The following is a 26,036-nucleotide window of genomic DNA, read 5'->3' as shown; positions in this document are numbered from 1 at the left end:
GCTACACCAGGCTTCAGCAGGAAACCATACAGATCTCCTGGGAAGGGCTTCCCTCTCTGAATGCAGCTGCCTGTCCACAGGATGCTCTAGGCCCAGGCACCTTGATTCCTCCAGCTGGAAAGACATAGAGAAACCCCTCCACATCCCATTAAAATGCCCTAAGATTTAGCCAAGGCTCCTATGAAGCGATCTGCTGTCTTCATCCAGGTAAGGGCAACTTCGCATTTTAAGACACGAAGATCGTGGGTAAATCCAGGTGGGACTGAGATGCGGGAGCTCCGGCGCACACACTCCTGTCATTGGAAGATGAACGCGGTACTTATTCCTGCACAAACAGACCCTGCCCTCTGGCCGTGGGCCTAGAACATGATTCTTTTGCAGTTGCTGTTGGGGAAGAGGCCCTTGGGCTTTAACCTGCGAACGGCCTCCCTTAAATGCTTGGGCTGCAGCGGGGGCGTCTCTCCCCACATCTCACACACGTCCAGGGCCTCTTCCACCACCTCTCCAACAAAGAGCTTGGCTATTCCAGCCATGGCAATGGCCGCGTTCTCCGACACCGAACTGCCAGTGATAGCCCGCATCAGACCCGCAACGCGTGCTCTCGGGAACGCTGACCGGCGACACACTTCGTAGCGGGACAGCTGCTCCTCAGACATGGCAGACAGCAGGGTTGTCATCCTCTGAGCCTCCTCCGCATCCACGGTGGGCTTGCTCTCCTTCTTGCCTTTCGTATGTGTTTTCCGTCTTTTGGCTGCAGGAGGAGCTGAGGCTGAAGCCTCACTGTCACCTTCTGTGAGGTCCATGACATCCTCACTCCTGAGCTCACCTTCCTGATCCCTGGGTGCTTCCAAGTTCCCGTCTAGGTCCTCAGGGATTCCATCCTTCTTGCTGCCCTTCAGACCTCGGGGCATGGCGAGCATCTCAGCAGACACACCTGTTTGCCTGCCGGTCTCCATGGGTGAGATTCAAGTCTGCTCCGTGACAGCAGCTGTACAGGCAGAAGTTCCGGCTGGGGTGGTTTGATTGTGGATCTGCGATGAGAACCTTTCAAAGATTTTAGCTGCTGTGTTTCTGCTGAGCCAGTTTCGCCGTAACCGGACACGGCTCCCGGCCGCCCCTTCCCACACACAAACACACACACTGAATTTTCTCGCTTCCACAGTGTGAAGAAACTTGTGGAAGGAGAGTATGTTAGTTTTAGGTCAATGCAGAACGAATTCTCACCAATTTTGGGTATTTAAAACAAACACCAGCTCACAGGTCAGAAGTTCTGCTAGGCCAAGTGACTGCCTCCTGCTCAGAGTCCCACGAGGGACCTCCAGGATGGGTCTGGCTGTGCGGTCGTTGCCTCCACCTGAGAAGGGTCTGGCTTCGATCCGATTCGAGTTGGTGGCAGAATTCAACAATGCCTCAGGGTTGTGAGCCCCAGGCCCACTTGTTTGTTCTGCCTGCTGCCGTGAGGATGCTCTCAGCTCCTACCCGTGCTGCCCAGGTCTGGGCCGTGAGGCTCCCTGGGTGTGCACAGCCAGTGCTGGGGAATCTCCCACAGGGGAGCGTAATCACAGGGGGGTTCAGTCCTCCCTTATAAAGGGCTCAGATGACTGCATTAGACCCAGCCCTTAGCAGCCGTTGGTTCAGGATACCCCCCAATCTAATGAGGAAGTCGGGCGGGCACATCAATTCGTGCTTCCGCCCACACCCAAGGGAGGGGCAGACACAGGGCGACTCTCTGAGGGGCGGGAAATGCAGGGGGCATTTCAGAATTCAGTCCTCTTCACAGAATCGCAAAGTTCACATCTCACAACAGTAAAGAAACTATTTACAGTAAAAATGAGACATTTTACGAAGTTGAGCATTAGAAAACTTCGATGTCTGAGAAAAAAAACTCTCTAACGCACAGGGAAGAAAGCGGTTTATCAAATACTCTGAAAATAAAATGGGCTGGGTGAGGGAAACGTGAAAATATTATTTCAATTTTATTTTACGTCACTTTATTTTAGTTTATTTTATTTTATTTGTTTATTTCTGAGACAGTGCCTCGCTCTGTCCCCCAGGCTGGATTACAGCGGCCTCATCTCAGCCCACTGCAGCCTCGGCATCCTAGGCTCAACGGATTCTCCTGCCTCAGCCTCCAGAGTGGCTGGGACTAAATGTGCGCGCTACCACGCCGGGCAAATTTTTGTATTTGCTCAAGTAGAGACGAGGTCTCGCCATTTTGCCCAGGCTGGTCTTGAACTGCTGACTTCAGGTGATCTGCCCCACCTTGGCTTCCCAAAGTGAAGGGACTATAGGCGTGAGCCACCGCGCCCAGACTATGATAGTTTCACACTGAAGCCTGAAGCTGCTCTGCCATAGGATTTTTCCTGAGTTTTACTTCCTTGTCAGGATGAGTTGCTAGTTCATATTTTCTGTTGGATCTTTTAGAAAGGCGTTACTGATGAGATTATGGCTTTCTCACAAGAAATACTACTCTGGTGAAACTCTATTGAAATTATCAGCACCTTAAGTTTCCAATCCTTATCAAGTACAATAGTTGAACATGGCGTGGTAGCTGAAAGTGTAAGAGGCAGAATTTGGCAGACTCCACTTCTTCCCATTTCGATGGTTCCAGGTTTTTTGGCTTCAGCCGAACTAAAGAATGTCCTCACGAGCTGTGAACTCACAGGTCACTACAGACAATTTTTGAAACTGAATCACACTGTAATTTTTGGCGTATGCTCTGTGAGCTGTGCTGGGAAGGTTCACGCTGATTCCGTAATAAATCTCGGGTTTTTACTCTATAGCGAAAAATTACTCTTTGCCATCCTGAAGGCAAAGCAGAGTATGTACAAGCAGAGTGTGGAATAACTTTGTCACTCGTGACGAACCGACTTGGTCCAACACTTTAACGACTTCTCCAATGTCTCCGTACTCAGGTTTGATTTTCTGAGTGGATCATCGGTAGAATGAATAAAATCAAGAATCCTCTAAGGCAATGTTTGGAACTAAATTTCAGTGTCTCCGGAAGCACTGGAAAAATCACCACGTGTAGCGAAAGTGAAGTGTCAATAGGCTCTCTCTGTGTCCTTCAAACCGCCCATATGGTCGTTACAAACGGCGGCTTGAGGAAAGGTGGTTTTGGAATCGGTTTCTCTCTGGTCTTACATGATGCATCTATACTATACTGCATTATAATACAGGAAAGGGTCACTTGCTGACATAAAGCACAGCAGGCAGGAATAGAAGAGTCAACTTAGGGGAAAAAAAGAAAGTGCTTTGTGATTTCATTTTGGTGTCTGCAGTTTGGAAAACGGTTGATCAGTTTAACTGTTTTCGTGGTGACTCACAAAAATACATATGAGCGTTGAAATTCTACAGAAGAACAACAATCGGGGAAACATTTCTGCAAGCTCCAATTACTGGAACCCAGACATAAGCCTACAAGCTAAGACAGAGCTACACCAGGCTTCAGCAGGAAACCATACAGATCTCCTGGGAAGGGCTTCCCTCTCTGAATGCAGCTGCCTGTCCACAGGATGCTCTAGGCCCAGGCACCTTGATTCCTCCAGCTGGAAAGACATAGAGAAACGCCTCCACATCCCATTAAAATGCCCAAAGATTTAGCCAAGGCTCCTATGAAGCGATCTGCTGTCTTCATCCAGGTAAGGGCAACTTCGCATTTTAAGACACGAAGATCGTGGGTAAATCCAGGTGGGACTGAGATGCGGGAGCTCCGGCGCACACACTCCTGTCATTGGAAGATGAACGCGGTACTTATTCCTGCACAAACAGACCCTGCCCTCTGGCCGTGGGCCTAGAACATGATTCTTTTGCAGTTGCTGTTGGGGAAGAGGCCCTTGGGCTTTAACCTGCGAACGGCCTCCCTTAAATGCTTGGGCTGCAGCGGGGGCGTCTCTCCCCACATCTCACACACGTCCAGGGCCTCTTCCACCACCTCTCCAACAAAGAGCTTGGCTATTCCAGCCATGGCAATGGCCGCGTTCTCCGACACCGAACTGCCAGTGATAGCCCGCATCAGACCCGCAACGCGTGCTCTCGGGAACGCTGACCGGCGACACACTTCGTAGCGGGACAGCTGCTCCTCAGACATGGCAGACAGCAGGGTTGTCATCCTCTGAGCCTCCTCCGCATCCACGGTGGGCTTGCTCTCCTTCTTGCCTTTCGTATGTGTTTTCCGTCTTTTGGCTGCAGGAGGAGCTGAGGCTGAGGCCTCACTGTCACCTTCTGTGAGGTCCATGACATCCTCACTCCTGAGCTCACCTTCCTGATCCCTGGGTGCTTCCAAGTTCCCGTCTAGGTCCTCAGGGATTCCATCCTTCTTGCTGCCCTTCAGACCTCGGGGCATGGCGAGCATCTCAGCAGACACACCTGTTTGCCTGCCGGTCTCCATGGGTGAGATTCAAGTCTGCTCCGTGACAGCAGCTGTACAGGCAGAAGTTCCGGCTGGGGTGGTTTGATTGTGGATCTGCGATGAGAACCTTTCAAAGATTTTAGCTGCTGTGTTTCTGCTGAGCCAGTTTCGCCGTAACCGGACACGGCTCCCGGCCGCCCCTTCCCACACACAAACACACACACTGAATTTTCTCGCTTCCACAGTGTGAAGAAACTTGTGGAAGGAGAGTATGTTAGTTTTAGGTCAATGCAGAACGAATTCTCACCAATTTTGGGTATTTAAAACAAACACCAGCTCACAGGTCAGAAGTTCTGCTAGGCCAAGTGACTGCCTCCTGCTCAGAGTCCCACGAGGGACCTCCAGGATGGGTCTGGCTGTGCGGTCGTTGCCTCCACCTGAGAAGGGTCTGGCTTCGATCCGATTCGAGTTGGTGGCAGAATTCAACAATGCCTCAGGGTTGTGAGCCCCAGGCCCACTTGTTTGTTCTGCCTGCTGCCGTGAGGATGCTCTCAGCTCCTACCCGTGCTGCCCAGGTCTGGGCCGTGAGGCTCCCTGGGTGTGCACAGCCAGTGCTGGGGAATCTCCCACAGGGGAGCGTAATCACAGGGGGGTTCAGTCCTCCCTTATAAAGGGCTCAGATGACTGCATTAGACCCAGCCCTTAGCAGCCGTTGGTTCAGGATACCCCCCAATCTAATGAGGAAGTCGGGCGGGCACATCAATTCGTGCTTCCGCCCACACCCAAGGGAGGGGCAGACACAGGGCGACTCTCCGAGGGGCGGGAAATGCAGGGGGCATTTCAGAATTCCGTCCTCTTCACAGAATCGCAAAGTTCACATCTCACAACAGTAAAGAAACTATTTACAGTAAAAATGAGACATTTTACGAAGTTGAGCATTAGAAAACTTCGATGTCTGAGAAAAAAAACTCTCTAACGCACAGGGAAGAAAGCGGTTTATCAAATACTCTGAAAATAAAATGGGCTGGGTGAGGGAAACGTGAAAATATTATTTCAATTTTATTTTACGTCACTTTATTTTATTTTATTTTATTTTATTTGTTTATTTCTGAGACAGTGCCTCGCTCTGTCCCCCAGGCTGGATTACAGCGGCCTCATCTCAGCCCACTGCAGCCTCGGCATCCTAGGCTCAACGGATTCTCCTGCCTCAGCCTCCAGAGTGGCTGGGACTAAATGTGCGCGCTACCACGCCGGGCAAATTTTTGTATTTGCTCAAGTAGAGACGAGGTCTCGCCATTTTGCCCAGGCTGGTCTTGAACTGCTGACTTCAGGTGATCTGCCCCACCTTGGCTTCCCAAAGTGAAGGGACTATAGGCGTGAGCCACCGCGCCCAGACTATGATAGTTTCACACTGAAGCCTGACGCTGCTCTGCCTTAGGATTTTTCCTGAGTTTTACTTCCTTGTCAGGATGAGTTGCTAGTTCATATTTTCTGTTGGATCTTTTAGAAAGGCGTTACTGATGAGATTATGGCTTTCTCACAAGAAATACTACTCTGGTGAAACTCTGTTGAAATTATCAGTACCTTAAGTTTCCAATCCTTATCAAGTACAATAGTTGAACATGGCGTGGTAGCTGAAAGTGTAAGAGGCAGAATTTGGCAGACTCCACTTCTTCCCATTTCGATGGTTCCAGGTTTTTTGGCTTCAGCCGAACTAAAGAATGTCCTCACGAGCTGTGAATTCACAGGTCACTACAGACAATTTTTGAAACTGAATCACACTGTAATTTTTGGCGTATGCTCTGTGAGCTGTGCTGGGAAGGTTCACGCTGATTCCGTAATAAATCTCGGGTTTTTACTCTATAGCGAAAAATTACTCTTTGCCATCATGAAGGCAAAGCAGAGTATGTACAAGTAGAGTGTGGAATAACTTTGTCACTCGTGACGAACCGACTTGGTCCAATACTTTAACGACTTCTCCAATGTCTCCGTACTCAGGTTTGATTTTCTGAGTGGATCATCGGTAGAATGAATAAAATGAAGAATCCTCTAAGGCAATGTTTGGAACTAAATTTCAGTGTCTCCGGAAGCACTGGAAAAATCACCACGTGTAGCGAAAGTGAAGTGTCAATAGGCTCTCTCTGTGTCCTTCAAACCGCCCATATGGTCGTTACAAACGGCGGCTTGAGGAAAGGTGGTTTTGGAATCGGTTTCTCTCTGGTCTTACATGATGCATCTATACTATACTGCATTATAATACAGGAAAGGGTCACTTGCTGACATAAAGCACAGCAGGCAGGAATAGAAGAGTCAACTTAGGGGAAAAAAAGAAAGTGCTTTGTGATTTCAATTTGGTGTCTGCAGTTTGGAAAACGGTTGATCAGTTTAACTGTTTTCGTGGTGACTCACAAAAATACATATGAGCGTTGAAATTCTACAGAAGAACAACAATCGGGGAAACATTTCTGCAAGCTCCAATTACTGGAACCCAGACATAAGCCTGCAAGCTAAGACAGAGCTACACCAGGCTTCAGCAGGAAACCATACAGATCTCCTGGGAAGGGCTTCCCTCTCTGAATGCAGCTGCCTGTCCACAGGATGCTCTAGGCCCAGGCACCTTGATTCCTCCAGCTGGAAAGACATAGAGAAACGCCTCCACATCCCATTAAAATGCCCAAAGATTTAGCCAAGGCTCCTATGAAGCGATCTGCTGTCTTCATCCAGGTAAGGGCAACTTCGCATTTTAAGACACGAAGATCGTGGGTAAATCCAGGTGGGACTGAGATGCGGGAGCTCCGGCGCACACACTCCTGTCATTGGAAGATGAACGCGTTACTTATTCCTGCACAAACAGACCCTGCCCTCTGGCCGTGGGCCTAGAACATGATTCTTTTGCAGTTGCTGTTGGGGAAGAGGCCCTTGGGCTTTAACCTGCGAACGGCCTCCCTTAAATGCTTGGGCTGCAGCGGGGGCGTCTCTCCCCACATCTCACACACGTCCAGGGCCTCTTCCACCACCTCTCCAACAAAGAGCTTGGCTATTCCAGCCATGGCAATGGCCGCGTTCTCCGACACCGAACTGCCAGTGATAGCCCGCATCAGACCCGCAACGCGTGCTCTCGGGAACGCTGACCGGCGACACACTTCGTAGCGGGACAGCTGCTCCTCAGACATGGAAGACAGCAGGGTTGTCATCCTCTGAGCCTCCTCCGCATCCACGGTGGGCTTGCTCTCCTTCTTGCCTTTCGTATGTGTTTTCCGTCTTTTGGCTGCAGGAGGAGCTGAGGCTGAGGCCTCACTGTCACCTTCTGTGAGGTCCATGACATCCTCACTCCTGAGCTCACCTTCCTGATCCCTGGGTGCTTCCAAGTTCCCGTCTAGGTCCTCAGGGATTCCATCCTTCTTGCTGCCCTTCAGACCTCGGGGCATGGCGAGCATCTCAGCAGACACACCTGTTTGCCTGCCGGTCTCCATGGGTGAGATTCAAGTCTGCTCCGTGACAGCAGCTGTACAGGCAGAAGTTCCGGCTGGGGTGGTTTGATTGTGGATCTGCGATGAGAACCTTTCAAAGATTTTAGCTGCTGTGTTTCTGCTGAGCCAGTTTCGCCGTAACCGGACACGGCTCCCGGCCGCCCCTTCCCACACACAAACACACACACTGAATTTTCTCGCTTCCACAGTGTGAAGAAACTTGTGGAAGGAGAGTATGTTAGTTTTAGGTCAATGCAGAACGAATTCTCACCAATTTGGGGTATTTAAAACAAACACCAGCTCACAGGTCAGAAGTTCTGCTAGGCCAAGTGACTGCCTCCTGCTCAGAGTCCCACGAGGGACCTCCAGGATGGGTCTGGCTGTGCGGTCGTTGCCTCCACCTGAGAAGGGTCTGGCTTCGATCCGATTCGAGTTGGTGGCAGAATTCAACAATGCCTCAGGGTTGCGAGCCCCAGGCCCACTTGTTTGTTCTGCCTGCTGCCGTGAGGATGCTCTCAGCTCCTACCCGTGCTGCCCAGGTCTGGGCCGTGAGGCTCCCTGGGTGTGCACAGCCAGTGCTGGGGAATCTCCCACAGGGGAGCATAATCACAGGGGGGTTCAGTCCTCCCTTATAAAGGGCTCAGATGACTGGATTAGACCCAGCCCTTAGCAGCCGTTGGTTCAGGATACCCCCCAATCTAATGAGGAAGTCGGGCGGGCACATCAATTCGTGCTTCCGCCCACACCCAAGGGAGGGGCAGACACAGGGCGACTCTCTGAGGGGCGGGAAATGCAGGGGGCATTTCAGAATTCAGTCCTCTTCACAGAATCGCAAAGTTCACATCTCACAACAGTAAAGAAACTATTTACAGTAAAAATGAGACATTTTACGAAGTTGAGCATTAGAAAACTTCGATGTCTGAGAAAAAAAACTCTCTAACGCACAGGGAAGAAAGCGGTTTATCAAATACTCTGAAAATAAAATGGGCTGGGTGAGGGAAACGTGAAAATATTATTTCAATTTTATTTTACGTCACTTTATTTTAGTTTATTTTATTTTATTTGTTTATTTCTGAGACAGTGCCTCTCTCTGTCTCCCAGGCTGGATTACAGCGGCCTCATCTCAGCCCACTGCAGCCTCGGCATCCTAGGCTCAACGGATTCTCCTGCCTCAGCCTCCAGAGTGGCTGGGACTAAATGTGCGCGCTACCACGCCGGGCAAATTTTTGTATTTGCTCAAGTAGAGACGAGGTCTCGCCATTTTGCCCAGGCTGGTCTTGAACTGCTGACTTCAGGTGATCTGCCCCACCTTGGCTTCCCAAAGTGAAGGGACTATAGGCGTGAGCCACCGCGCCCAGACTATGATAGTTTCACACTGAAGCCTGACGCTGCTCTGCCTTAGGATTTTTCCTGAGTTTTACTTCCTTGTCAGGATGAGTTGCTAGTTCATATTTTCTGTTGGATCTTTTAGAAAGGCGTTACTGATGAGATTATGGCTTTCTCACAAGAAATACTACTCTGGTGAAACTCTGCTGAAATTATCAGTACCTTAAGTTTCCAATCCTTATCAAGTACAATAGTTGAACATGGCGTGGTAGCTGAAAGTGTAAGAGGCAGAATTTGGCAGACTCCACTTCTTCCCATTTCGATGGTTCCAGGTTTTTTGGCTTCAGCCGAACTAAAGAATGTCCTCACGAGCTGTGAATTCACAGGTCACTACAGACAATTTTTGAAACTGAATCACACTGTAATTTTTGGCGTATGCTCTGTGAGCTGTGCTGGGAAGGTTCACGCTGATTCCGTAATAAATCTCGGGTTTTTACTCTATAGCGAAAAATTACTCTTTGCCATCATGAAGGCAAAGCAGAGTATGTACAAGTAGAGTGTGGAATAACTTTGTCACTCGTGACGAACCGACTTGGTCCAATACTTTAACGACTTCTCCAATGTCTCCGTACTCAGGTTTGATTTTCTGAGTGGATCATCGGTAGAATGAATAAAATGAAGAATCCTCTAAGGCAATGTTTGGAACTAAATTTCAGTGTCTCCGGAAGCACTGGAAAAATCACCACGTGTAGCGAAAGTGAAGTGTCAGTAGGCTCTCTCTGTGTCCTTCAAACCGCCCATATGGTCGTTACAAACGGCGGCTTGAGGAAAGGTGGTTTTGGAATCGGTTTCTCTCTGGTCTTACATGATGCATCTATACTATACTGCATTATAATACAGGAAAGGGTCACTTGCTGACATAAAGCACAGCAGGCAGGAATAGAAGAGTCAACTTAGGGGAAAAAAAGAAAGTGCTTTGTGATTTCAATTTGGTGTCTGCAGTTTGGAAAACGGTTGATCAGTTTAACTGTTTTCGTGGTGACTCACAAAAATACATATGAGCGTTGAAATTCTGCAGAAGAACAACAATCGGGGAAACATTTCTGCAAGCTCCAATTACTGGAACCCAGACATAAGCCTACAAGCTAAGACAGAGCTACACCAGGCTTCAGCAGGAAACCATACAGATCTCCTGGGAAGGGCTTCCCTCTCTGAATGCAGCTGCCTGTCCACAGGATGCTCTAGGCCCAGGCACCTTGATTCCTCCAGCTGGAAAGACATAGAGAAACGCCTCCACATCCCATTAAAATGCCCAAAGATTTAGCCAAGGCTCCTATGAAGCGATCTGCTGTCTTCATCCAGGTAAGGGCAACTTCGCATTTTAAGACACGAAGATCGTGGGTAAATCCAGGTGGGACTGAGATGCGGGAGCTCCGGCGCACACACTCCTGTCATTGGAAGATGAACGCGGTACTTATTCCTGCACAAACAGACCCTGCCCTCTGGCCCTGGGCCTAGAACATGATTCTTTTGCAGTTGCTGTTGGGGAAGAGGCCCTTGGGCTTTAACCTGCGAACGGCCTCCCTTAAATGCTTGGGCTGCAGCGGGAGCGTCTCTCCCCACATCTCACACACGTCCAGGGCCTCTTCCACCACCTCTCCAACAAAAAGCTTGGCTATTCCAGCCATGGCAATGGCCGCGTTCTCCGACACCGAACTGCCAGTGATAGCCCGCATCAGACCCGCAACGCGTGCTCTCGGGAACGCTGACCGGCGACACACTTCGTAGCGGGACAGCTGCTCCTCAGACATGGCAGACAGCAGGGTTGTCATCCTCTGAGCCTCCTCCGCATCCACGGTGGGCTTGCTCTCCTTCTTGCCTTTCGTATGTGTTTTCCGTCTTTTGGCTGCAGGAGGAGCTGAGGCTGAGGCCTCACTGTCACCTTCTGTGAGGTCCATGACATCCTCACTCCTGAGCTCACCTTCCTGATCCCTGGGTGCTTCCAAGTTCCCGTCTAGGTCCTCAGGGATTCCATCCTTCTTGCTGCCCTTCAGACCTCGGGGCATGGCGAGCATCTCAGCAGACACACCTGTTTGCCTGCCGGTCTCCATGGGTGAGATTCAAGTCTGCTCCGTGACAGCAGCTGTACAGGCAGAAGTTCCGGCTGGGGTGGTTTGATTGTGGATCTGCGATGAGAACCTTTCAAAGATTTTAGCTGCTGTGTTTCTGCTGAGCCAGTTTCGCCGTAACCGGACACGGCTCCCGGCCGCCCCTTCCCACACACAAACACACACACTGAATTTTCTCGCTTCCACAGTGTGAAGAAACTTGTGGAAGGAGAGTATGTTAGTTTTAGGTCAATGCAGAACGAATTCTCACCAATTTGGGGTATTTAAAACAAACACCAGCTCACAGGTCAGAAGTTCTGCTAGGCCAAGTGACTGCCTCCTGCTCAGAGTCCCACGAGGGACCTCCAGGATGGGTCTGGCTGTGCGGTCGTTGCCTCCACCTGAGAAGGGTCTGGCTTCGATCCGATTCGAGTTGGTGGCAGAATTCAACAATGCCTCAGGGTTGTGAGCCCCAGGCCCACTTGTTTGTTCTGCCTGCTGCCGTGAGGATGCTCTCAGCTCCTACCCGTGCTGCCCAGGTCTGGGCCGTGAGGCTCCCTGGGTGTGCACAGCCAGTGCTGGGGAATCTCCCACAGGGGAGCGTAATCACAGGGGGGTTCAGTCCTCCCTTATACAGGGCTCAGATGACTGCATTAGACCCAGCCCTTAGCAGCCGTTGGTTCAGGATACCCCCCAATCTAATGAGGAAGTCGGGCGGGCACATCAATTCGTGCTTCCGCCCACACCCAAGGGAGGGGCAGACACAGGGCGACTCTCTGAGGGGCGGGAAATGCAGGGGGCATTTCAGAATTCAGTCTTCTTCACAGAATCGAATGATTCCTCACAACAATAAAGAAACAATAAAGAAACTATTTACAGTAAAACTGAGACATTTTACGATGTTGCTCATTAGAAAATTTAAATATCTGAGAAAAAAATTTAAGTATCTGAGAAAAAAATCCCTAACTCATAGGGAAACAAGTGATTTATCAGGCACTCTGAAAATAAACTGGGCTGGGTGATTGGAATATGAAAATACGATTTCAATTTTATTTTATTTTATACATTTATTTATTTATTTTTGAGACAGAGTCTTGCTCTGTCCCCCAGGCTGGATTACAGTGGCCTGATCTCAGCTCACTGCAGCCTCTGCCTCCTGGCCTAAACAATTCTCCTGCCTCATCCTCCATAGTAGCTAGGACTAAATTTGCACACTACCAAGCCGAGCTAGTTTTTGTATTTTTTCAAGTAGATGTGAGGTTTCACCATTCCGGCCCGGCTGATCTTGAACTGCTGACTTCACACGATCTGCCCCACCTTGATTTCTCAAAGTGAAGGGATTACAGGCATGAGCCACTGCTCCCAGACTTCAATTTTATATATTACATGTGTATGTATACATAGGTCACAGAGAAGCACCAAAGAGACATAAAATTATGTCATGCACAAAGATATACATCACATTTAGGGAAAATTATGTTGATAAATGGCATAAAAACTACTTCAGAAGATAAAGCAGACACTTAAATATCTGACTTTTAAAGAGCCTTTGTTTATTCAAAAATAGTTGGTAGAAGATATGAAATTATTGGCCAGGCACGGTGGCTCATGCCTGTAATCTCAGCATTTTGGGAGGCGGAGTTGGGTGGATCTCCTGAGGTCAGGAGTTCATGACCAACCTGGACAACATGGTGAAACCCATCTTTACCAGGAAAACATATTTACATTGGAACCTTTGTAAGTCACATCGGGCCTTTCGTTTCCAATATTTACTGGTACTGAAGTCATGATCGGTAGGTTATAAGCAGAAACAAATGGCAACTCAAAGAGGGAGAACCATCCAAAACTTGAAAATTAACCCCTGAAATAAAACAGATACATAAACTTCTCATAAAAATTAATTACCATATACAGTTATCTCTCACGATACTCTAAAAAGACACTGAATTTATCTAAGCTTTATATACTCCTCATTTTTCTCTTAAACTCTAGTAGGTCTCTATCTAGAGAGATAAACACCCTAGAGAGAGATGTAAATTAATGACTTCTTAAATGAAAAGATTAGAAGGCCCCATGCCCCCAAACTATCCAAGATAATTGAGGCACAAAGAACAAAATTTAATGTTGATTTATGTTTATTTTTATCTAAGGAAAAGAATTAAATTAACTAATGTTTATATACAAAATGACTATAGCCCATAAATAAAGCTTATAAATAACCAGATATATATGTGGGCTATTCAAAAATGTTTTACTGGCCGGGCATGGTGGCTCATGCCTGTAATACCAGCACTTTGGGAGGTTGAGGCAGGCAGATCACTTGAGCCCAGGAGTTCGAGATCAGCCTGGACAATGGAGCAGAACCTCTTCTCTATAAAAAATACATAAATTAGCCAGGCACAATGTGCATGCCAGTGGTGCCAGCTACTTGGGAGGCTGAGGTGGGAGGATCCCTTGAGCCCAGGAGGCATAGGTTGCCGTGAGCAGAGATCTTGCTACTGCACTCCAGCCTAGGTGATAGAGCAAGAAGCTATCTCATTTTCTTTGAAAAAAAGCTCTTACTGATAAGATGCAAGTGGAAAAAAATAAGAAGAGCCTCCTAGATTAACTCTTCCAAAACATAAACCTCACAGATGATAGTAACTTCAGCCATCCACTCTCTTCTGATTGCATTAGATAGACTTCCACAGAAACCTATGGGCCAGATCCAGGTCACATTTTATAATGCTCCAGAGAAAATTTACAGACACTTTGTACCCTACAACACACTTAGCTGCTTTCTAAGCATCAATGTTAGGAACATATTTGAATTGCTTTTAAAAGGATAAAAGCATTTAAAGTTTTTCCCATGAAAATACTTATCATTCTTTATGCCATTACTATATTTCTTGCTCTGAAATCCCTTCTAATTTTCTTCAGCATTTCTTCCATTTCTGTCTATGCCCAATTAAAATTTTTTTAATGATGTCAGAACCACCATTATTATTTTGCAGAATGTATACAAAGGCATTCATAACAAGCAGAGCCTTCCCGGATGCACCCATAAAGGTGCAGGCAGAGGAAAGTGGTAAAACTGTTACACCCCAAAACCATTATGTGGCTCTAATTGTTAACTTAAAAATAAGAAACATACTAATTAGATGGCTGTTTTCTTGATCCCTGACATCCCCTTTGTAGACAACAGACTCAAAAAGCTATTTTTCAACAAATATTTATTGAACACTTTTGTACATGCTATGTATCCTGGAGGAAATGCTGTATTTGTGAAGTTGAACTCTCCTACTCTAGAAATTTAAAAATCTGATATTTTCAAGTATTACTCTGAATTTTTGTTTACATTAGCCAGGCTGGGAATTTCTTAATGGTTTTGGTCTGTCAGAAAACCAAGCAATGTGTTAGAGGCTCTAAGTCTATCCAGTATAGTTCCAGGATGGTTTCTTGTATTGTTACTTATTTAATTATTACACAAATACTGAATGTGGATACATAATTGACAGTGCCTTACATATTCAGATACCATGAGTTTTTCATTTTATTATCATCAAATTTCTTATTGAGTAGAAAACGCTTTTGGACAACAAAAGAAATAATCCTCTTAGTAAACAAACAACCTATGGCATGGGACAAACCATCTGCAAACTATGCATCTGACAAAGGACTAACAGATCCAGCATCTACAAGCAATTCTAACAAATAAACAAGAAAAAACAAATATAATCCCACTATAAAGTGGGCAAGTGATGTGCATAGAAATTTCTCGGAAGAAGATACAACAATTCCAAAAAAAAAAGAAAAAAAAAACAGAGGAAAAGATGCCCTGCATCACTAATCATCAGAGAAATGCAAAGTAAAACCACAGTGCGGTATCACCTTACCCACCAGAATGACCCTTATTCAATAGTCAAAAACGATAGATGCTGGGGTGGATGTGGTGAGAGGGAATGCTTAGGCACTGCTGTGGGAATGCAAATTAGTGTAATCTCTGTGGGAAACAGCATGAAGATATCTCAAAGTACATCCCCCATTTGATCCAGTAATCCAAGTAGTGGGTAGACACACAAAAGAAAAAAACTCACTCTACCTAACAGACCAGCACACATATGTTTATCCTAGCACAATTCACAATTGCAAAGATATAAAATAAACCTAAGTGCCCACCAGCTGATGAGTGAGTAGAGTTAAATGGAGTTCATATATGCCATGGACTACTACTCAGCCATAAGCAATGAAATCATGTCTTTTACAGCAACTTGGATGAAACTACAGGCCATTATTCTCAGTGGAGTCATTCAGGAATCTACAGCCAAATGGTGCACATTCTCACTTAGAAGTGGGAGCTAAGCTGTGGGTAGGAAAGGCATACAGAGTGGTAACACAGACATTAGAGACTCAGAAGTGGCAGGGTGATGGGGGGATGAAAAACTGCCTACTGGGTGCAGTGTAGGTGTAGTAGTCACGTGATGAGCGCACTAAAATTCTTGACTTCAACACCATACAATTCATGTATGGAACAAAAGCCACTTATGAGTGGTTTTTACAAGCTAATGAAACATAATTTTTTTTAAAAAACTACACAACTAGAAAATAATAATACTAAGCTCTAATTAAAAAAATGCTAACAGGAATGTGTTTTGGAATATTGATATCATGAAATTTATCATTCTGTGCATGAAATCTGCATTGAATTGAACAATAATTTATATTACAGGTATCACAAAAGTTCATTAAGAGTAAATTGAAATAGACTTCGCCACCGTACAATTCATCTATGGTGCCCAAAACAGTTTGGTACTGCTAAAGCTATTCAAATAATGAAATGTGTTCAATATTTACTTAGCTAAGCTGTGACCTCGGTTCAGCAATTCAGAGAGGTCGGGGCTGACTTCTCAGGACCTCATGGTGTTTTCATCCTGGGCAACAACAGGATAGCTCTGTTCAGGCATCAAATCCACATTCAAAGTGGAAAAGAAGCCAAAGGGGGCATCAGTGACAGTCACATGTCACTGTTTTCTCACAACAGCTTTGCCTTCCCCAGGAGGCTACCAGCAGATTTGCAGGAGCATCACCTTTGAAGAGAAAAATGCTCCAGGAGAATCCCTCATAGAGGAGTGGCCATTTCAGGTTTCCATATTCCCCTTCCCAGTTCACTTCATCCTCATGGGATCTGATGAAGACCTCATGATCTCAAGCCTTGGTGTTTTTCCACAGACATGTAGGTTGTCTAACGTGCAACTTGTTTTTGTTTTTCTTTTGAGATGGAGTCTCACTTTGTCACCCAGGCTGGAGTGCAGTGGCGTGATCTGGGCTCACTGCAACTTCTGCCCCCCAGGTTCAAGCAATTCTCCTGCCTCAACCTCGAGTAGCTGTGATTACAGGTGCATGCCACCACACCTGGTCAATTTTTGTATTTTTAGTAGAGACGGGGTTTCACCGAGTTAAGCCAGGATGGTCTCAATCTGTTGACCTCATGATCCATCCACCTCGGCCTCCCAAAGTGCTGGGATTGCAGGCGTGAGCCACCATGCCTGGCCTAACATGCAACTTTAAGTAACTATTTCCTTGATGTAAATAAAATGTAAACTTTCAGAATCCATTCGGCACCCAAAACGTTAAGTGACAGATCTCATTTACCATCCCTCCCACAATGCACAATCCAGAGGTCTGTACCTCTCTTGGGTGAGGAAGAATGCAGGGACTTAATGGGCTTTCACAGCCCTGATTAGGTTAAGCATCTGCTGCAGCACAGAACGCAGTGGAAGGTAGCTGGGTGGGTCTAATCCAATCATCCAAGCCTCCTATAAATGACTGAATTTGGCTGAGATCACAGAGATCTCCAGCTAGAGCAAGACTGCCTGGGAGAAAGATTCCCCACTGCTGTGTGTAGACCTAGGAATCCCAAGGCTACTCAAGGAGACTGAATACAGGGACCTCAGACCCACTGATCAGTAAGCTGGTAAGTATGGGGCTGGGTTGGAAGGGGCTAAGTGTATGGGAGCACCTTCTGCATAGATCCCAACACACAGACTCTGAATCCTGCCCACAGCCCCAACACCATTGCTGTCTGGTACCAGCACTGCTTCCAGTTCAGCAGGCTCAGCCCAGTGACAAGGGAAAGGCCACAGCCCTACACCATGGCTCGCATTAAGCAGACTGACCTCAAAGCCACCGCCTGGCAGGCCCCCAGGAAGCTGTTGGCCACCAAAGCTGCTGGCAAGAGGGTCCTGGCTACATGAGGGATCAAGAAGCCTCACCGCCACAGGCTTGGCACCCTGGCACTGCACAAAATCAGGAAGTACCATAAGTCCACGCAGCTGCTTCTGCACAAGCTGACCTTCCAATGCCTAATGCGTGAGATCACCCAGGCCATCAACCCAGACCTGCGCTTCCAATGTGCGGCCACTGGCGACTTCAGGAGAACAGCGAGGCCTACCTGGTCCCCCTATTTAAAGACAACAACCCATGGGTTATCCATCCCTGGCATGTCACAATCATGCCCAGAGACATGCAGCTGTCCCGCCACCTCCGCGGAGAGGGTGCTGAGGAGCCCACGCTCCTGGGAAACGCTGCGCTCTAGACGGCTTTGTTTCCGTTTGGTTGTGTTTTTCAATTTCTCTGTGTTAATCATAGTTCTGATATTAGCAGTTCTCTTCACTTTTGCTTTTATGTCCTTCACGGGGTCCAAAAGCAGCCCTGCACATGATTAGGAGTAACAACACAGGCAGATATAACGGGTATGCCTGTTTCTGTTTTCTTTTGTTTGTAAACTTTCCATCTACATTGAGAGTCTAATGCATTCATGTCAACCGGAAATTTCTCACTGAACGCCTTTCAACAGTTCAAATCAAGAACAATTGTGAAAAAATTTGTTCATTAATGTTATTGAAAACCAAATAAATTTCTTATTGGTGGCAAATAGATAATGTCTCCTCCATCAAACAGCAGATGCGATCCACACTTTGACTTTTCCTATATGCAGCTCCGTGTTCTCAATGTTCCCTGTCTCCTGGGCTGTTCCTGTGTGTGTATTTGCTATGAACATACATTACACCCTACTTTCTAAAATGTGAATAGAGTCTCTATACACAAGTCATTTCACATTATGGGAGGCAAAAACCAGTGTGGGTCTGTTTGTGGGTGGGAAAGGGAGAGAGGCACCTGTTAGAAGTCCGATGCAGTCCATCAGCAGCAGCTGAGCGTCCTAGAATGTGGTCATAGCCGTGGCTATGGCTGGAATGATACAGGTCTTGGTTAGCGAAGTGGTAGGAGAGGTCCTGCTTATGTTTGAGATGTGGGGAGACATGCCCCACTGCAGCCCAAGCATTGGAGGGAGACCTTTCTCAGGGGACAGCCCAGTGGCCACTTCCCAAACACCTACTACAAAGCAAAGTCATCTTCCTCTGGGCTGCAGCCTAGAAAGAAAGGCCTGATCTTAGAGGAAAAAGTACTGGTTCCAGTCTTTCTATGACAGAGCCCTCTGTACGCTGGAGCTTCAGTATCTCAGCCCCTCCTGGACTTATCCATGACTTAACATCTTTCTTACATCTTACATTAGTCTCACCCAGATGAAGGCAGCAGCCTGATTAATAATGTCATCCAATCATATTTGTATCTCAGATGGGGCACAATGGCTTATTTCTATGATCAGAGAGCATTTTGGGAGACCAGGGTTGGTGGATCACTTGAACTCAGGAGTTCCAGACCAGCCTGGGCAACATGACAAAACTTCCCCTCTACAATTAAAATGGAAAAAAAAAAAGCTAAATGTGGTGGTTGGTGCCTGCTGTTTCAGCTACTCCAGAGGCTGAGGTAGGAGGATCTCTTGAGCTCCAGAAGTGGAGATTATAGTGAGCTGAGATGGAACCACTGCCCTCCTACCTGGCTGACAGAGTGAGACCCTGGCTCAAGAAAATAACAATCATTATCATCATGTTTGGGTCTCTGAGGTCCATGTATGAGCAGGCATTGTTCTAGGGCTTCCTAGTTGGAAGAACAAAGGCACATGCGCCTTGAGCATCCTTTGGAAGGGGAGCTGCTTTCAGAGAGAAGAAAGAAACCCTTTTAAGGGACTATGGTGGATTCATACCGAATCCTGAAGTGGATATAACTTACGATTTTTGCTCATATGTGATTTTAAGCAGACACAACGAAGTCTTCCCTTACAATACTCTATCCTGAAGGTGCTGGGCTTTCTAAGAGTACTGGAGTAGCTGCCCTTGGAAACATTTAGTACTTTTCCATAACTTTTCCTGGGGAATCAAGCACCTCTTTTCCAGCTTGTAAAAATAAAAATGAAATTAAAAAAGTATTCTTCTCTAAAATGACTCTTTTTACTTTCCTACCAAGACTGTTTCATGTTGGGGAGTGATGTTTGATGATGTCAGAATGGTAACACACTCTGGGAGCCACATGGAAAACTAAGAGAAGGACAGACCCCAGATACCCCGTCTCATCTGGGCACTCCTTTCCACGCCTTCACCTCCAAGGAATTGCCCCAATGTAAACTAGGTTTATGGCTGAAATAACATGTTTATTTCTGTTTAGTGCTTCTCTAAAACAGAAATACATATGATGACAATACATATTCATGCTAGATAATGTTCAATTGTTACTTGATTTTCCAAATTATTCCATAAGAACACAAAAATTAGAAATAAAATTCCTTCTCAGTGTAGGATTTGACCATTAAATATTTTGTGTAATTGAACATTATTTGTAATTATACTGACATGTAATTGATCCAATACCCTGAATATAAGATAAACGGTAACAAATGTATAACCTACTAGAAGAAAACAGGGGATGTCCTCATTGACAATGGCTAACCCAATGATTTTTGGAATATGTCCCAAAAGCAGAGACAGCAAGAGGGAAAATACATAAATGGATTGCATCCAAATGAAAAAACAAAAAATCTGCAGAGCTGACAAAACAATCAACACCATGAAGAGACAGAATCATAAAGAAAGAAAATATTTGCAAACCCCACATCCAATAAGGAATTAACTATTTACTGTCCAAAATATACTAGGAACTCCAAGGACTCGAAACCAAGAAATAATACAATTTAAAAACTGGGCAAAGGAACTCAATAATAGACACTTCTGAAGAGAAGCCATGAAAGTGGCCACCGGCTATATATGCATATATACCTGCTGTTACTAGTATATATATATACTCAACATCACTAATCTCCAGAGAAATGCCAATAAAAACTGAAAGAAGATAACACCTTATGTTCATTAGAATGGCTATGATCAAAACATCAAAGGACAACACTTGTTGATGAGGATGTGGAGGAAAGGGAGCCCTTGCATTCTTCCTGGGAATGTAAATTAGGGCAGCCATTATAGAAAACAGTATGGACCTTCCTCCACAAACTAAATAAATACAGCTACCATATGATCCAGCAAGCCCACACTGGGAGGTGTACATCAAAAGGAAATCAGTCTATTGAAGAGATATCTGCACTCCCACATTGATTGCAGCACTACTTACAAGACCTAAGATAGGGAATCCACCTAAATGTCCAAAAGCAGATAACAGGAGGAAGAAAATCTGACATATATACACAAGGGAATACTATACCGCCTTAAAGAAGAAGGAAATCTTGTCATTTGTGACACATGGGTACACCTGGAGAACATCATGCTAAGTGAAATAAGTCAGGCATAGGTAGGAACACAAATACCACATAATCTCAATGCTATGTAGAACATCACAAAGGTAGTCTGATGGATGTCAAAGAGAAGAAAGGTGGTTGTTTGGGGCTGTGGTGGCAGGGGGTGGGGAATTTGAGAAGACATTGGTCAAAATACACAACATTTCAGTTACATAGGGGGAATAAGTTCAAGGATTATTGTATAACATGATGACTTAACAACAGATCGTATTTTTGAAAAATGCTATTAACATGGATGTGCAGTGTTCTCACCACAGTAATATATATGTGAGGTAATGAATGTCAATTACCTAGATTTAGACATTAGACAATGTGTACATACTTTAAAACAGCATTTTGCACATAAGAAATATATACAACGAGATGTGTCCACACTTTAAATATGAATACACAAGTCAATAGTTGAGTGGTTGCAAGGGACCGAGAGTGAAGCAGAAGTGCAGAGACTGGACAGAGTACGATTGCATGGAAGTGAAACTAGTCCATAGAATACAATAATGGTGGATACATGCAATTATGCCTTTGCTTGAATCCATGGAATATACAACACTCAAGTGAATCCTAAGGAGAGCGATGGAGTTGGAGTCACAGTGATGTGTCCATGTAGGTTGAAAGGTTGTAGACAATGTACCACTCTGGGGCAGAAAGTTCATAGTGAAGGGGGCTATGCATATGTGTGGTGAGAGGATATTGGGGACCTATGTTCCTTCTACCCAATTTTGGGATGAACCTAAAGGTTTTTTACAAAATGATCTCTATTTTTAAAAGAGAAATGTGAACTTATTTTGTGAGTATTGATTATCCTGGAAATTCCTGTTCTGTGTGTGGTATATGCATTGCAGGCATGGGCATTAAATTTATACTATAAGTTGTCAGAGAAGCCTGTGCACCGTGTATTGAAATAAGGGCCTTGGGTTGGTGTGTTGTTTATTTGTTTGTTTTCTTTACTCTGCTTTGCTTTTACTCATGAAGCCAATAGTATGAAGGTAGCTGCTGAGTCCTCGGTTCAGCAACTCAGTGAACTCAGGGCTGGCTTCACGGGGCTTCATGGCATTTCCAAAGCAGGCAATGGAAAGAAGGCTCACCCCCTCCATCAAGGTAAAAAACACACGGGGGGGCTTCAGTGACAGGCACATAAGACCATTAGTTCAAAAACCTCAGCTTCCCCCGAAGGCTACACGCAGATTTCCATGAATGTCACTTTGGGAGAGAAAAATGCTCCCAGAGCATCCCTGGTAGAGGAGTGACCATTTCGGTTTGCATCTTCTCCTGCTGGTAAGTCTGGGGTGGGTTGGAAGGGGCTCAGTGTGTGGGAGCATCTTGTACATGGATTTCAACTCACGGGCTGGCAGTTCCATGTTTGCAATGTTCCCTGTCACCTGGGCTGTTCCTCCTAGTTTGCTATGAACATACATTGATCTCTACTTTCTACAATATGAATAGACTCTGTATGAATAGACTCTGTATCCACAAGTCACTTCACATTAGGGTTGGCAGAATAACCAGTGTGGTTGTGTTTATGGTGGGAAAGGGATAGAGGCACCCTGTAGAAGTCTGATGCATTCCGTCAGGTGCAGGTCAGTGTCCTAGAACCAGGTTACTGCCATGGACATGGCTGTAATGACACAGATCTTTGTTGGGGAGGTGGTAGGAGAAGCTCTGGACATGTGTGAGATGTGGGAAAATGCCCCTGTTACACCCCGGGCATTAGAAAAAGGCCTTACATACAGGACAGCCCAGGTGCCGCTTCCCCAACATCCAGTACAAAAATAAAATAAAATAATCATCTTCCTCTCAGAAGATATTGGTCTCACCCAGATGAAGGCAGCAGCCGGTTTCATAATCCCTTTCAATCATATTTATATCTCAGACCAGCCACAATGGCTCATCTCTGTAAAACCAGCACTTTGGGTGGCCAAGGGCAGCAGATCAGTTGAGCTCAGGAGTTCCTGTCTAGGCCAGGAATCTTGGCAAAACCTCCCTTCAAAAAAAAAAATTAGTTGGTTGTGGTTGCTGGTGCCTGTGCTTTCACCTACTTGGAGGCTGAGGTAGAAGGACTGATTGAGCTGTGGAGGTGGAAGTTAAAGGGAGCCAAATTGACATCACTGCCCTTCCACCTGGCCAACAGAGTAAGACTCTGTCTCAAAAAACTAACAATCATTGTCATTATATTTGGTTCTCTGAGGTCCATGCATGAGTGGGTGCTTTTCTGGGTCTTCCTAGTTGGAGGAAGAAAGGTGCATGGGCCTTGGGCATCCTGTGGACGGGGAGCTGTTTTCAGATAGAGAAAAAAGACATCCTTTTAAGAGACTATGGTGGATTCACACTGAATCCTGAAGTTGCTATGACTTTGGATGTTTTTGCTCAAATGTGATTTTAAAGAGATAAAACAAACAGTAAGTCTTCCCTTACAATACTCTATCCAGAAGGTCCCGAGCTTTCTAAGAGCACTGGAAGAGTTACCTTGTAAACATTTAATACTTTTCCATAACTTTTCCTGGGAAATCAACCGTTTTTCAGCTTGCAAAAATAAAAATGAAATTAAAAATTAGTTTTTCCTCTAAAATGGGTTTTTTCACATTCAGACCAAGATTGTTTTATGTCACGGAGTGATCTTTCATGATGTTAGGATGGTAACACACTGTAGGAGCTGCATGAAAAACTACACAGAGAAACACAAACCCCAGAGACCCTGTCTAATCTCTTCATTCGTTTCCACACATTTGCCTCCAAAGAGCTGGTCCCAGTGTAACCTATATTAATGGCTGAAATAACATATTGATGTGTGTTTCATGCTTGTCTAAAACAGAAATGCATATAATAACTATATTATTATACTATGTGATGTTTTATTTTTAGTTTATTTTGCAGATTATTGTATTAAAATATAATGTCCTCTCATTGTAGGATTTGAGCATTAAATATTTTGTGTAATTGAAGCCTATTTGTAATTATACTGACATGCAATTGCCAAATACCATGTATATAAGATAAACAGTAATAAATATATATCAAAAATAAAATGGAGTTCCAGTTTTTGGGGTGACTCCTAAGGAAATTCCATGTCATCACTCTATCTTCACAATCATAAAAAAAAACTAAAAAAGCAAAGAATCAATATCTCCTTGGAAATCTCTCTGAGTGATGATGTCAGAGGCAAATACAAAGAGAAAATAAAAAGATTTCATGGTTTTCTGTCTTTGAAGTATGCTATCAATCTGTAGGAACCAAAATTTCATAACACTGGCATAAAAACAGAGACCTAAGCCACTGGATCAGAGCAGAGAGTCTAGAAATCAGTCCATCCATATACGGCCAAATGATAGTTTAAAAGGGTGCCAACAACCCACCACCACAAAACCACAGTTTCTTCCAACAATGGTGATAGGAAAACCTGGTAGCCACATGAAGAAAAATGAAATTGGACCCCTATATCTTACTGTACACAAGAATAAATCCAAATAAATTAAAAACTAGAAAGTATAAACCAACTAGAAGAAAACAGGGGACATTCTCATTGACTCTGGTTAAGCCAAAAACTTTTGGAATATGACCCAAAAGCACAGACAACAAAAGGGTGAATAGACAAATGGATTGCATCCAACTTAAAAAAAAAAAAATCTGCAAAGCCGACAAGACAATAAACATCATGAAGAGACAAAATCAAAATGAGAGAAAATATTTGCAAACCCTACATCATATAAGGGATTAATTACTGTCCAAAATACTCTAGGAACTCAAATGACTCAATAGCAAGAAACAACACAATTTAAAACCGGACAAAGGACCTAAATGACATACCTTTCTGAAAAGAAGACATACAGTGGCCAACAGGTATGTATATACATATATATGCTCAACATCACTAATCATCAGAGAAATGCAAATTAAAACTGAAAGAAGATACCACCTCACACTCATTAGGATGTCTATGATCAAAAAGTCAAAAGACAACACTTGTTAATGAGGATGCGGAGGAAAGGGAACCCTTGCACTATTCATGGGAACGTAAATTAGGACAGCCATTATAGAAAGCAGGATGGACATTCCTCCAAAAATGGAAAGAATAGAGCTACCATATGATCCAGCAATCCCACATTGCCAGGTATACACCAAAAGGAAATGAAATCAGTATTGAAGAGATATCTGCACTCTCATGTTAATTCACAATAGCTAAGATATGGAATTCACCTAAATGTCCAAAACTGGATGACAGGATGGGGTAAATCTGATATACATGCACAATGGAATACTATGCAGTCTTAAAGAAGGACATCTTGTCATTTGTGACACATGGGTGCACCTGGAGAACATCATGCTACGTGAAATAAGCCAGGTGTAGGAAGACAAATACCACGTCATCTCAATGATATGTGGAATCTCACAAAGTTAATCTAATAGATGTCAAAAAGAAGAATTCTGGTTGTCAGGGGCTGGGTGGCTGTGGGTGAAGGATTGAGAAGACGTTTGTCGAAATACACAACATTTCAGTTATATAGGGAGAATAAGCTCAAGGACTATATTACAACATGGTGACTATGGTTTAACAATAGATCATATTCTTGAGAAATGCTATTAGCGTGGATGTGAAATATTCTCACCACAATAGTACATATGTCAGGTAATGGCTGTCAGTTACCAAATTTAGATATTAGACAATGTGTTCATACTTTATAACAGCATTTTGTACATAAGAAATATATACAATGAGATGCGTCTGTTTTAAATACAAAGAAATAAATCAATAGTTGAGTGGTTGCAAGAGACCAAGGGTCAAGGGGGAGTGCAGAGATGGGACACAGTGCATTTGTACAGAAGTAAAACTACTCCACAGAATACAATAACGGTGGATACATGTAATTACACCTTTGCTCGAGTCCATAGAACGTACAACACCCAAGTGAGTCCCTAAGGAGAGCTATGGTCTTGGAGTCAGAGTGCTGTGTCCGTGCAGGTTGAATGACTGTAACCAACATACTACTCTGGAGCAGAAAGTTGATAGTGAAGGGGGCTATGCATATGTGGGGAAAGAGGATGTGGGAAATCTCTGCTCCTTCTGCCTGATTTTGCTGTGAACCTAAAGATTTTCTACAAAAGTAGCT

General features: G+C 45.0%; 4 protein-coding genes and 1 pseudogene across 4 annotated transcripts, besides 4 other annotated features; 1 reads left to right on the top strand and 4 right to left on the bottom strand.

Moving 5' to 3' along the window:
- Positions 1-359: 359 nt before the first annotated feature.
- On the bottom strand, positions 360-956 carry TAF11L6 (TATA-box binding protein associated factor 11 like 6). Its single transcript, NM_001401698.1, has one exon. The coding sequence runs from the start codon at positions 954-956 to the stop codon at positions 360-362; it is 597 nt and encodes a 198-aa protein (NP_001388627.1).
- A 2,837-nt stretch (positions 957-3,793) lies between these two features.
- On the bottom strand, positions 3,794-4,390 carry TAF11L5 (TATA-box binding protein associated factor 11 like 5). The gene has a single exon (NM_001401699.1). It carries the CDS (start codon positions 4,388-4,390, stop codon positions 3,794-3,796), a length of 597 nt encoding a protein of 198 aa, NP_001388628.1.
- Positions 4,124-4,787: an enhancer, noted in NCBI's record as "OCT4-H3K27ac-H3K4me1 hESC enhancer chr5:17524947-17525610 (GRCh37/hg19 assembly coordinates)". NCBI's record gives its function as "activates a minimal SCP1, AML or CMV promoter by ChIP-STARR-seq in primed H9 embryonic stem cells {active_cell/tissue: H9 hESC(primed)}" and the evidence as "EXISTENCE:reporter gene assay evidence [ECO:0000049][PMID:30033119]".
- Positions 6,920-7,587: an enhancer, noted in NCBI's record as "OCT4-H3K27ac hESC enhancer chr5:17522147-17522814 (GRCh37/hg19 assembly coordinates)". NCBI's record gives its function as "activates a minimal SCP1, AML or CMV promoter by ChIP-STARR-seq in naive H9 embryonic stem cells {active_cell/tissue: H9 hESC(naive)}" and the evidence as "EXISTENCE:reporter gene assay evidence [ECO:0000049][PMID:30033119]".
- Positions 7,228-7,824, bottom strand: TAF11L4 (TATA-box binding protein associated factor 11 like 4). The gene has a single exon (NM_001401697.1). The coding sequence runs from the start codon at positions 7,822-7,824 to the stop codon at positions 7,228-7,230; it is 597 nt and encodes a 198-aa protein (NP_001388626.1).
- A 2,837-nt stretch (positions 7,825-10,661) lies between these two features.
- On the bottom strand, positions 10,662-11,258 carry TAF11L3 (TATA-box binding protein associated factor 11 like 3). Its single transcript, NM_001401700.1, has one exon. It carries the CDS (start codon positions 11,256-11,258, stop codon positions 10,662-10,664), a length of 597 nt encoding a protein of 198 aa, NP_001388629.1.
- Positions 10,809-11,313: an enhancer, noted in NCBI's record as "OCT4-H3K27ac-H3K4me1 hESC enhancer chr5:17518421-17518925 (GRCh37/hg19 assembly coordinates)". NCBI's record gives its function as "activates a minimal SCP1, AML or CMV promoter by ChIP-STARR-seq in naive H9 embryonic stem cells {active_cell/tissue: H9 hESC(naive)}" and the evidence as "EXISTENCE:reporter gene assay evidence [ECO:0000049][PMID:30033119]".
- Positions 11,314-11,817: an enhancer, noted in NCBI's record as "OCT4-H3K27ac-H3K4me1 hESC enhancer chr5:17517917-17518420 (GRCh37/hg19 assembly coordinates)". NCBI's record gives its function as "activates a minimal SCP1, AML or CMV promoter by ChIP-STARR-seq in primed H9 embryonic stem cells {active_cell/tissue: H9 hESC(primed)}" and the evidence as "EXISTENCE:reporter gene assay evidence [ECO:0000049][PMID:30033119]".
- On the top strand, positions 17,387-17,793 carry H3P18 (H3 histone pseudogene 18; annotated as a pseudogene).

This window comes from Homo sapiens, chromosome 5 (assembly GCF_000001405.40).
Source record: "Homo sapiens chromosome 5, GRCh38.p14 Primary Assembly".
NCBI classification, from domain to species: domain Eukaryota; kingdom Metazoa; phylum Chordata; class Mammalia; order Primates; family Hominidae; genus Homo; species Homo sapiens.
The sequence above is the reverse complement of the archived record's forward strand: the minus strand, read 5'-3'. Positions and strand labels throughout refer to the sequence as shown.